The 12743-nt window shown below is 39.9% G+C and overlaps 1 protein-coding gene across 2 annotated transcripts in view; it reads right to left on the bottom strand.

Annotated features, from left to right (window-relative positions):
* SLC4A4 (solute carrier family 4 member 4) overlaps positions 1 to 12743 on the bottom strand; it is a 509424-nt gene that overhangs the window by 489277 nt on the left and 7404 nt on the right. Inside the window, exon 2 of one of the 2 annotated variants that reach the window (XM_024454268.2) lies at positions 2387 to 2468. The exons of the other annotated variant lie outside the window; for it this stretch is intronic. The gene's annotated coding sequence lies outside the window, so the exon portion shown is untranslated. The remainder of the gene's footprint in view (positions 1 to 2386; positions 2469 to 12743) is intronic. 2 annotated transcript variants of the gene reach the window in all.

The following is a 12743-nucleotide window of genomic DNA, read 5'->3' as shown; positions in this document are numbered from 1 at the left end:
TTTCTAGAGGACCTAGGGAGTTATGGGCTAGGGAGAAGTAAATAGATGACTCAGGGAGTTACATACACACACTGTCACTGTATCTGTAATGTATTGATTTCAAAAAATCTGAAGCAAAATGGGAAAATGTTAACATTTACTAAATGTAAGTGGTGGCTACATGGTATTGTTATATTAATCTCTATTGTTTCCCCAATGTTTGAAATAGTTTCTCTCAACATAATTTTCTGATTGTTTTATATAGATAAATAGATACTCTTCTCCTGAGGAAAGAGAAGACCATTGGAAAGACACTGATGGAAGAGTTCCCTGCACCAACCAATGATAAACACCAAGAACATGCAGCAATTTGGTGGCTGTTCTAGCAGGCAGGCAAGGGAGGGGGAAGACGTCAAAGTAATGGTTAAGTTGAGAGTAGGAAGACAAGGAAGATGGTGAGAGGATAGAGTGTTCTATAGTGGTGGGGGGGACAGTTATTTGCAAATAACGTGTTTGAAACTTGAACTATATAACTGGCTGCAAATGCAGAGTGCTTCGGCTAGGTTGGAGCTGAGACTCAGATACATCCAAGTTAAGCAGAATAAGAGAACTCATCCCCTTCATCCCTATAGTACAGAATCTATCGGAATAAACTGAATTGCTAGATACTACAGACGCTCCTGGGAAAATAATTAAATCTTGACCCAAAATAGGTTTAACATATATACAACTAATTAAGTGGAGGAAGCAAAATAAGTAAGATATAAAGAGAGACAACAGAAAATTTACCAAAGGGAGCAAGGTATTTGGATAGTACATTTAGCAAAAGAACCTAAGGGTTGAAAGGCAGTGAATTTAGCAGCTAATAGCACAGACACTGGGGACCCAGGCATTCCAGCCATATGTTTGAGCCCTGTGTGTATGAATTAACAGCTGTCTCACAACCTGAAACTTTGGGGCACAAGCCTTCCCACCACTCCCAAAAGCAAAGAAACAAACATTCTATTTTTATTTTCAAAAACAGAATTGGCCAAGATATTAGCAGGAATCCCAAATGAGAAGGAGCCGGTGGTAGCAAAGTCCTAGATTCCCGGGTTCGAAGACAGATGCAACATCAGAGTTCCAACTAGATCAGTTCCAAATGGTAGTTCTGGCTGCAGCAAGACCAGTGCAGCTCAATTCAGAATAAAGCACTCTGGGATCTAACTCATTGTGCTTTAGGGCTAACCAACCCTGTTCTAGAACCCTTTGTTATCACTGTAACGTAGAGCAAGGAAACATCCTTTTTCTCACTTTGCAAAAGCATCACTGGCTGAGGTACCTGAGATAAGAGCTACTCCAAAGCAGCCATGGTGGGGGTGTGGAGTACCAGCACCAGCACAGCTGCAGTGAGACCAGTGTGACAGCATCACAGTTTTCATTGGGATCTGCAGCTGGCTGCATTAGCAACAGCAGAGTTCCAGTTTTGGCATCTGTGGCAACCCAGTTTGGGAATCTCAGTGGTGAGCTCTAAGCCCAGGCTCTGCATGAATAAATGAAAAACAATTTGTGGGGGAATTTCCACAAATATACAGAGGAAAGGAACTTCCACAAAGAACCATAATGGGTAGCTAAGATGCAGAGCCATTAAGATGTGAATGCTTTTGTACTCTCAGGGTGGGAAAGGCAGAGATGTTCAAGTCACAGTAACTTGCTGCTGTGAAAAAATGGCATGTTTATGAAACACTTTGTGCTTCAGAGGAAAAATATATAATAAAATAAAACACAAGTTTGAATTAGATTTTTCTTCCTGATGGTTTTGCCTCCCTCTGAGATACAGAATCCAAGAGGAGTTTTAGTAAAGGAAGGAAGCAGGGGGATATGTGGAGGAAGAAACTGCAGCTGATTAAATATTTCCACTTATGTATTTTGTGATAAGAATATCTTCATTTACCAACAATCATAAACAGGAATACCTGAGCCTGTTTTAAATGGAACTCTATGTAATAGCTAGAATTTTAGTCTACAGAATGAAACTATAAAAGATGAGGTTACAGCATACCTAAAGCAGGGACTAGTGGGCTTACAAACCCAGGTGAAATGAGGAGGAGCTGGGCAGTAACAGTCACCAGAGTTAGCCTCAAGTCTAAAAGTGCTCACAACTCACCCCAGAACACTAACGAGCCCATTAGCACAAGCAATCCTTAGTTTACAAAGTATTTGAATATATGAAGAAAGACAAAAATAATCAAAGTGAGAAAGGCAGGGATGGGGAAAACACCTGAGACCATTCTGATGTGATGCTGAAAATTGTCCAGCAACATTTATGGCCACTTGGAAGGGAAAACACTCATCCTTTTACATGTGCCCTATGTTGAGAAGAATTTTAGCCAATTGGTTTATTGAAAGCGCAGGCACTCTTACTTACCCAGCACTTTGCCCATATCAGGAATCATGCCTTCTTCCCTGAGAGATCTGCCTCTGGCTTAAGGGGTCCCATCAGTTGACATCTAGGAGAACAGCAAAGAGAGAGTGCACGCTGACCCCAGTAGACCCAGCCCTGACTCCAGGAGAGGGCATATGGGACACTCGTGGGTAGTCTCTACCTTCCGGAGTCTTGCACAGGTATAAACACATAGCGTCGCAGTGACAGATCACATGGGGACCAGGAGAGATGCTTGCATGCTGCACTCCTGCTGTCAAGGTAACAACTGCCTTCGATTCCTGGCAACAGGATCCTTTCAGACCTGCTGTCAGAGAAACTAAGGGATTAGCCAGACTTCTTCCACTGGAGAGGTCACCACCCTCCAGAGGCTGATCAATATATTAATCCCTCCAGAGAGGGGTGTTGCTGGCAGCACACGGGCAGGAGAACTGCTTGCCCGCATTTCTCTGTTGTGGGGGACACAGCCCCAAGAGTCCTTATACTTCATACCTTCGTACTGCTTTCAGCATACACTTAAACCGCACTCACAGGGGAGTCTGTCTCCAGACAGTGACATATGATGACTTGCTGGCAGCCTGGCCTCTATCAGCAAATCATAGCATTTTCTTTACATCTTTTTTTTTTTTTGAGACAGAGTTTCATTCTATCACCTAGCCTAGAATGCAGTGGCACAGCCACTGCTCACTGCAGCCTTGACCTCCCAGGCTCAAGTGATCCTCCCACCACAGCCTCCCGAGTAGCTGGGACTACAGGTGTGTGCCACCACGCCCAGCTAATTTTTTGTATTTTTAGAGAGATAGGGTCTTGCTATGTTGCCCAGGCTGTTGTCAAACTTCTGAGCTTAAGTAATCCTCCTGCCTCAGCCTCCCAAAGTGCTGGGATTATAGGCATTAGCTACTGCACCAGGCCCACAGCACTTCTTTTTGGTGAAATTTGAATCCTGTCATCATAGTACTTGAAGGTTTGATGATACTTGGAGATCATTCTGACTAGGATTTTGAATGAAACAGCAGGCCTAAAATTCAAAGCACAAAAGGATGTGTTCCTTCTACAGCTACAGATGCCTTCACACTGCTGTATATGTGTCCCATGTTTCACCTGCCTCGGGCTTGCGATAGGAATGCCTGGCCATTACCAGACCCCAAACACCCTCTCTCCTTCCTAGGAGGTGTCTCATGGGTAATGATGATCACAGCCTGGCCAGAGAAGCACCCAGAGGCATGTCACAATTTCACCAAAGCAGGGAATAACTATTCATGACCTCAATGTTAAACTGTTATACAAGGCTGGGTGTGGTGGTTCACGCCTGTAATCCCAGCAATTTGGGAGGCTGAGGTGGGCAGATCACTTGAGGTCAGGAGTTTGAGACTAGTCTGACCAACATAGTGAAACCCCATCTCTACTAAAAATACAAAAATTAACCAGGCATGGTGATGCATGCCTGTAATCCTGGCTACTTGGGAGGCTGAGGCAGGAGAATCGCTTGAATCAAGGAGGCAGAGGTTGCAGTGAGCAGAGATCATGCCATTGCACTCCAACCTGGGCAACAGAGTGAGACTCTGTCTCAAAAAAAAAACAAACAAACAATAAAAAACACCTGTTATACAAATCCCAAAGCAGCAATGCTTTATTCTCCTAATGTGCCAGAGATTTTCATGAAAATATCTCCTTATCGTTTTACGACCGAGCCCTTCCTAGCACTCAGATGGGGTTCTACGGGAGCTAGAATGAGTATGAGCTGAGCGAAGAAGGCCTCAGTGTGCCCCCAGATTGAAGCACAAACATCTTAAAATTTGATACTCAATGTGTTTATTTTTTCTTTTGTTGCACTAATCAATTTTTTTAAAATCATTCTAACTCTTACTTAGTCTGTGCAAGATATTTTACTTAAGCCTTTCCAAGATTCTAATGCCCCATGCTCCTCCCAAACTCCAGCCTGCTTGAATTGATAATTCTCTTCTCAGAACAAACTCTACCACTTCCCCCTACACCTTGCATAGACTTCTAAGCAACTCATTACACTTACTAATTGATGTACATGTGTCTTCCTAAAAAGGCTATGTACTACTTAAGAGTGGGGCTCTGTTATTCAACTTTGGATTCTTACATGGAAAAAAAAATCTGTCATCTAGTGGGCATTTGGCTAATGTCTGGCAAATAAATAAATAATGAATGAATGAATGAATGAATGCTAATTGTACATTCAAAGATGGTTTGATGCATTTTGAGGGCCCACAATGTGTTGGTTAACCTCAAGAATCCCTTTATGAGACCATAGTACTCCTGCATCCAATTCTTTTCTCCTGCTATCTTTTTTACACAGAATATATTTTTTAATAGTTTCTAGAATCCTATCTTATCAAGATTTTTTGCAAGTAATGGGATGAAAAGAAGACCTACCCTATCTGTACATATATTTTCCTGAGACTCACACTTGATTAAATAAATATGTTTTCATTGATTTTTCTAAAAAATGTATATTTAGCCATTAGGTATATTTGCTAGATAGACATTCTTTTGCCTGTTAATGTATGGGAAAATGCTTAAAAGTGTATTTTTGTTGGAAGGAACTAGGGGAGTGCAGTAGGAGGAGAAATAGAAATAGGGTGATCCATAGCAAATCTTGCTTTCAAATTCTTAGGCATCATTAAGCAGAATAGAAAACAAAACCGTCTGCTACAATGCTCATTATTTCTTATTTACTTTTTTCATCATAGATAGCCTGTAGCCAAACTTTCTCAGCCAAAATATTGATTGTCTCTAACACATGGAAAATATAAAAACAAACACAGGCAAAATGGGTATAGCAAGTAGCTGGTCCATTAGCCTGGATAATGATTAATTGAATAAATATCTTCTTTGGGTCTTTATCTTTGTCTACCTAACACAGAGTGTGATAGGTAGAACGAGATAGAAACCAATATTAAAAGTACATACTCAGGGCTGGGCAAGATGGCTCATGCCTGTAATCCCAGCACCTTGAGAGGCCAAGGTGGGAGGGATCCCCTGAGGTCAGGGGTTCGAGACCAGCCTGGCCAACATGGTGAAACCCTGTCTCTACTAAAAATACAAAAATTAGCCGAGCATGGGGGTGGGCACCTGTAATCCCAGCTACTCGGGAGGCTGAGGCAGGAGAATTACTTGAACCCAGGAGGCAGAGGTTGTAGTCAGCTGAGATCTCGCCACTGCACTCCAGCCTGGGTGACAGAGCGAGACTCCGTCTCAAAAAAAAAAAAAAGTACATACTCTAAAAATCCAGGACCACTAATTAATCAACTTCAAACATAACCTCCTTACATATTTTATTTTATATATATATATTTATGTATATATTATATATTATGTATATGTATATGTATTTTTACATATATGTATATGTGTTTTTACACATATATATGTATATGTATTTTTTTTTGAGACAGGGTCTCACTTTTGCCCATGCTAGAGTGCAGTGATGCAATCATAACTCACTGCAACCTCTGCCTCCCAGGCTCAGGCAATTCTCCTGTCTCAGCCTCCCAAGAAGCTGGGACTACAGCCCTCTCCATCATGCCAGGCTAATTTTTGTATTTTTTGTAAAAATGTGGTTTTGCCATGTTGCCCCAGCTGGTCTCAAACTCCTGCACTCAAACAATCTGCCCGCTTCAACCTTCCAAAGTGCTGGGATTACAGGTGTCAGCCACTGTGCCTGGCCTTATTTTTTAAAGTTCATATTTATAAAACATTTTGCAAAAATAGATGGCTTTTAATGTTAAATGAGAAATACATTCCCAACTGCCACAGAAGAGTTAAGCACATTGCAGAAAACCCAAAGAAACAAACCTTCACATTAAAGTGCCCAGGATTAAAGTTGATACTTTTTTTTTTTTTAAAGACAGAGTCTGGCTTCATTGTCCAGGCTGGAGTGCAATGATGCAATCTTGGCTCACTGCAACCTCCTCCTCCCGGGTTTAAGTGATTCTCCTGCCTCAGCCTCCTGAGTAGCTGGGATTATAGGCATGTGCCACCATGCCAGCTAATTTTTTGGTATTTTTAGTCGAGACAGGGTTTCACTATGTTGGCCAGGCTGGTCTTGAACTTCTGGCCTCCGTTGATCCGCCCAGCTCAGCCTCACAAAATGCTGGGATTACAGACAAAAGTAGATTCTTTTATTCATTCAACAATATTCTTCAAGCATCTGCTTCATTTTCCAGATAACATTCTCGGGACTAAGAACACATTCTAAGCACTGAGGAATTCGTTTTGTCCTCAGTGGAGTTTACACTGTAGCTGAGGAAGAAAGACAATAAATAAATAAACAAAAATATAATTTGTTAGGTTGTGATAAAAACAATAAGCAAACATGAAGTAGGGTAAGATAGGTAAGGGGAAACAGGGGCAGGTTGACGGGATTGCTATTTATTTATTTATTTATTTATTTATTTATTTATTTATTTATTTATTTAGAGATGGAGTCTCGCTCTGTCGCCAGGCTGGAGTGCAATGGCAATCTTGGCTCACTGCAACCTCCTCCCAGGTTCAAGCAATTCTCCTGCCTCAGCCTCCCGAGTAGCTGGGACTACAGGCGCCCACCACCATGCCTGGCTAATTTTTGTATTTTTAGTGGGGACGGGGTTTCACCATGTTGATCAGATGTTGAACTCCTGACCTTGTGATCTGCCCACCTCGGCCTCCCAAAATGCTGGGATTACAGGCGTGAGCCACCGCGCCCGGCCGTGATTGCTATTTCAGATTGGGTAGTCAGCCAAGACATTTGAGCGGAGACCTGAAGGAAGAGCTGGAGTGAGCCATGGAGAGAGCTGGCGGAAACACCCCAGGCAGCGTGAACAGCAAGGGCAAAGTTCCTGGGACAACAGTGGGTTTGGCATGTTCAAGGAACAGCAGAAGCCAGTGTGGCTGATGTGAAGTGAGCAAGAAGGAAGGGGGTGAGAAGTGAAGCTGGAGATCACGAAGTACCTTACAGAGCATGGCAAGGGCTTTTGTTTTTTCTCTGATTGAAATGAGAGACAAAAAATAGGATTGCATTTCCTTTGCCTCACTGAAAAAGACAGTCCCTTATGTCCATCTGGGATGAAATGGAAGGTAAGAAAGAAATACATTAATAGAAATCACAATAGCAAGGAAGGAAGAGACTAGTCCGGATGAACAACACACTGCTTTGAAATCCACTTTAAGATCCTAACATAGATTCTTGCGATTTTTATCTAAAACATTGTTAATAGTAGGCTGACATTCGTGATTTCCTTCAGTCTAAATGCAGTAACCTCCTATTTTCCCATCAGGTGCAATAAGAATGCTAGTCTAAATTCAGCCTAATCCTGGTGCTAATAATAGCGCAAATGTGAAGAGCGTCTCTGAGCTAGAGATCCCCAATTTTGGCTTCTGAATTAAGCCTTGTTATATGTCCTCCAGGTTCAAGCTAATCCTTTTACTCTAATGAACAAAGTTTAAGGAGAGGCACTGACACTGTACCAGAAGTAGAAGTCAGAACAAACAACGATCAAGCACTAGCCAGGCAAATGTGCCAGCGTGAAGTCATTTCGTCTTCCTGGTTGCTGTATTTTTAGCAGTCCCTGCTGAGCAACTCATTTTCCCACACTGAGGCCACCAGGACAATTTGCCGACAGAATTTGCACACAGTTGCACAAACTACTTTGTTTAAATCTCATAACCTTTATTTTCTTCCTTCATTTTTCTTTTTGCTTGCTCCCTTCCCTCTTTCCCTCCCTTCTTCCTTCCTCCCCTTCTTCCTTCCTTTCTCTTCTCCTTTTTCTCCTTTCTTCCTTTCCTCTTTCCTTCCTCCTCCCTCCTTTCCTTCCTTTCTTTTTCTTAATAATCATGGCTACGTCCTAGACATAACTCCTTTAAAGTTTCTCACTGCTTTTTTGAAAGACCTTGCTGTGTTTAATTTTAATGGTGAGTTAAGTACAAAGAAAGGAACATCTGTTTTGAACAACAATGAAGTTTGTTTTGTGGAACTCAATTTCTCCTGGTGAATTATATTTCTAGTAAAATACTTTAATGGTCATTTCTGCAAAACAGATGAAAAATTTTTCTTTAAAATAGATGCCAGTCAGGGAGCTATATGGGAACTCTTGCTGGTGCAGCCTCAAGTCTCAGCCTATTCTCCTCTTTACAGCTCTCAACACCTGGATTCTTATCTTCCCAGACTCACTGGGATTTGAAGATTCTCATTTATTATTTATCACTATGGAGAAACAGAGTGACAGAAATAAATGATGTCACTAAACTTTTTAAAGTTCCATCAAGTTTTTCAGGTAATTAATCCCTATTCTATACTGACATCTAACTAGAGGTAAGCAAATCTCTCTTATAGTAGCACCTTTCCTGGATTTTTTTTTTCTTTTTCTTGAGACAGCATCTGGCTCTCCCGGGCTCAAGTGGTCTTTCCACCTCAGCCTCCCAAGTAGCTGGGACTACAGGCACACACCATCACACCAAATTAATTTTTGTATTTTTTTGTAGAGACAGGTTTTCGCCATATTGCCCAGGCTGATCTTGAACTCCTGAGCTCAAGTGGTCAACCCGCCTCAGCCTTTCAAAATGCTGGGATTTTAAAGGTGTAAGCCACCGCACCCGGCCTTTTCTGGATTTTCTTAGGAAATTCCATCCATCAAGTATTTATACAGCATTTTTTTTATGTGCAGGTACTGTTCTAGGTGCTGGAGAGACAGCAGTACCAAAAAGGGGGTAAAATTCCTTACACTAGTAGAGCTTACATTCCAGTGGAGGGAAACATACATTATAAAAATAAATATGTGAAATATAGTTTGTGAAGTGGTGATAAATGCTACAGAGAAAAATCAACCAGAATAGGTGGAGAGGTGGGGGTTGTGCACTTTTAAATAGGTGGTCTGGGAAGGTCTCACTGAAAAGGTACATTTGAACAGAATACTTGAAAGAATCAAACATATGAGGCACCCTTGCAGAAAGCATTTTGACTTCATTTCCTTTCTAAAAACATATTCTCCAGGGTGGTTTTAAGGAAGCATATTTTATAGCCTTTTTGATTACTTTACAAAAATTTAAATGTGTTAGCTCAAAGATGACCGCTCTCACCATTATTATCTAACATTGCTCTGGAAAAGATAGTAGCCAATGAAACTGGTCAATAAAAGAAATTAGGTATAAAAATAGCAAAGGAAGAGATAAACTTCATAATGTGTAGATGATCTATCAGTTGTTAAACTTAAAGGGAAAAAAATTGCAATTAAAAGAATTCAGCAATGTGACTGGTTACAAAGTTAATATACAAACATTAATTGCCTTCATATGTATTAATACAATCAACAACCAGTTTAAAAATCCAAAGGAAGGCTGGGCACTGTGGCTCACACCTGTAATCCCAGAACTTTGGGAGACCAAGGCAGGCGGATCCCTCAAGCCCAGGAGTTCATGGCGAAACCCCGTCTCTACCAAAATAATAATAATAATAATAATACAAAAATTAACTGGGCATAGTGGCATGCACCTTTAGCCCCAGCTTCTCAGGAGATTGAGGTGGGAGGATCGCTTAAGCCCAAGAGGCAGAGGTTAGAGCAAGCTGCAATCACGCCACTGCACTCCAGCCTGGGCAACAGAGCAAGACACCTGTCTCAAAAAATAAAAATAAAAAGGAAGATAAACCCCCATTTATAATTGCAACAACAAAAAAAAGGACCAAAATATTAGGTTCATGATTAGAAAGATTCAACATCATGAAGACAGCAATTCTCTCTTTAAAGCTATAACTGTAATGTAATCCCAATAAAAATATCAACATAATTTTTGTTAGAAAAATAGCAAGCTGTATCTAAAGTGCATATTAAAAGGAAAAAAAAAGCCATAAGGCTGGGAAGCTCTAAAAAATAAAAAAATGAATAAAAAGAGAAGACTATGCCTATCATTTTTATTTTTATTTTGAAGCTTCACTAATTAGAATAGTGTGGTACTACTGAATGGGTGATAAATTGCTGAATGAAACAGAATAGAAAGTCTAACAATAGACATAACTATACTAAGGAATTTAGTCTATGACTAAAGGTGGCTTTGCACACCAGTGGAGGAAAAGATGGATTAGTTAGTATATGGTTTGGGAACAACAACAGCCATCTATACAAAATTTTAATGTCATATCCTTCATACCAAAATAAATTTTTAGTACATAAAAGTTTTAAACGTAAAAACAGAAACATAACATAAAGCATTAGAAATAGGAAATAATTTTTTAATAGACTCAGGGTAGGGAAGACCTTCCTAAGTATTATACAAAAGATTGTAACTATTAAAAATTGATCAATTCAAATACATACAAATTTTAAAATTTCACATGGCAAAAGGCAAAATTAAAAGAAATATTTTTGCAACAAGGAGAAAAAGAAACATTCGTGCTTTGCTGGTAGAAGTAAAAATTGGTGCCAGCTCTGTTGAGAGTGATTTGGCACTATTAAAATTAAATTTTCAAGTGTACATGCCTTTAACTCAGAAATTCCACTTCTAGGAATTTATTTCATACATCTATTGACACATATGAAAAAGATATGCACAAGGATATTTATGCAGCATTATCTGAAATATCAAAATATTAGAACAATTGGGATACATCTGTATAATGGAATCATATGCAACCTTCCAAGAATAAGGCAAATCTATATGTATCAATGTGGAATGCTCTTCAAGATAGTAGAGTTAAATAAATGAAGAAATAGGGAACTTAGTATGCTACCATTTGTGAGATTTTTAAAAAGAATCACACAAACACACATGCTCAAACATCTCTGGAAGGATAACTTAAGACGCTAGTAGCAATGATTGCCTCTGGGAAGGGAACTAGGACCAGAGAATGAAAAAATAATCTAATTTTCAATTATATTCATTTATAGATTTGAATTTTGTGCTGTATGTATGTTGTGCCTACTCAAAGCAATAAAAAATATTTTAATACTTTAAAATTAACAGATGTTTGTTAAAATATCTTTATCAATAGCCCCACACTATGGAAACCAAGGAAATGTATTTCTTAAATTACTAGATAAAAACAAGGAATCTAGATTCTGGTCTTAGATCTTTCCATTGAATCATTTTAGAACCAAAACACAGCTTTTTTCTTCTTCTTCTTTCCTTTTTTTTTTTTTTAAGACGGTCTCACTCTGTCGCCTAGACTGGAGAGCAGTGGTGTGATCTCGGCTCACTGCAACCTTCACCTCCTGGGTTCAAGCAATTCTCTGCCTCAGTCTCCTGAATAGCTGGGAGTACAGGAGTGTGCCACTGTGGTCAGCTAATTTTTGTATTTTTAGTAGAGATGGGGTTTTGCTATGTTGGCCAGGCTGGTCTCCAACTCCTTGCCTCAAGTGATCCACCCACCTTGGCATCCCAAAGTGCTGGGATAATAGGCGTGAGCCACCACACCCAGCCAAGACAACTTATTTTTAAAGGTTGACCTTTTCCAGCTCTTGAATTTCTGAAACTTACTGAGAAATGGATGCAACAGAATGCTGCTATTCACAAACCTGATAGTATTTTTTAATGCAGATTTTTGGGTTCCATACCAGAACTGCTGCCCCAGCCTCCCACTCCACTTAGCACCAAGGTTTAAAAGTCAGTTTCCATTGCAGTCACATCTCTAGGTTCATCTTCACTCATTCTCTGATGTAAATGTCCTCGATTTCTTTTGTGCTTGTGGAAGCATTTCAGAATTGTTTTACATTCAAACCAGTATTTTTAATTGCTTTTTAATAGAATGAACAAACCAGATTTCTAGCCCACTATGTCACCAGAAACAGAATTTGCAAATCAGTTTCTCTAATTTTGTACTGATCATATTTAATCATTACAGCTATTTAAATGTTCTAGTTCTCCTTCATTTGGGAGCAGGGTGATATTTCATTTCCCTATTACCTGGAGACTGGCCATTGACTTTGGCCAATAAAATATGAAAGTGTCGTACATTGCTTTCATCAAGAAGCCTTTAAAAACCAATGTACAAAGTCACAATATCCCCTTTCCCACCTTGGCAATTGTAGACTCGTCTGACAAGGTAAAGACTCCTTCATTCTGAGTGACTAAGTAACTGTAATAAACAGAGCCCCCCAAAGTGATCAACATTGGAATATAATGTAATTGAGAAATCAACTTTTGTTGTATGAAGCCACTAAGACTTTGCAGTTTGTTACTATAGCATCACCTAACCTATACTGACTGATACACAGGAGTCCACTGTGTTACTCTTTACACTAGTAAAGTCATTCATTCAGTCAGTCAACAAATAAGTATCTTCCAGGTGCCACTCAGTTTGCTAGACTCTAAGAAACAATAGTGAAGGGGAGACAAACATAAACAT

This window comes from Homo sapiens, chromosome 4 (assembly GCF_000001405.40).
Source record: "Homo sapiens chromosome 4, GRCh38.p14 Primary Assembly".
Lineage (NCBI taxonomy): Eukaryota > Metazoa > Chordata > Mammalia > Primates > Hominidae > Homo > Homo sapiens.
This window is presented reverse-complemented; position numbering and strand designations above follow the sequence as displayed.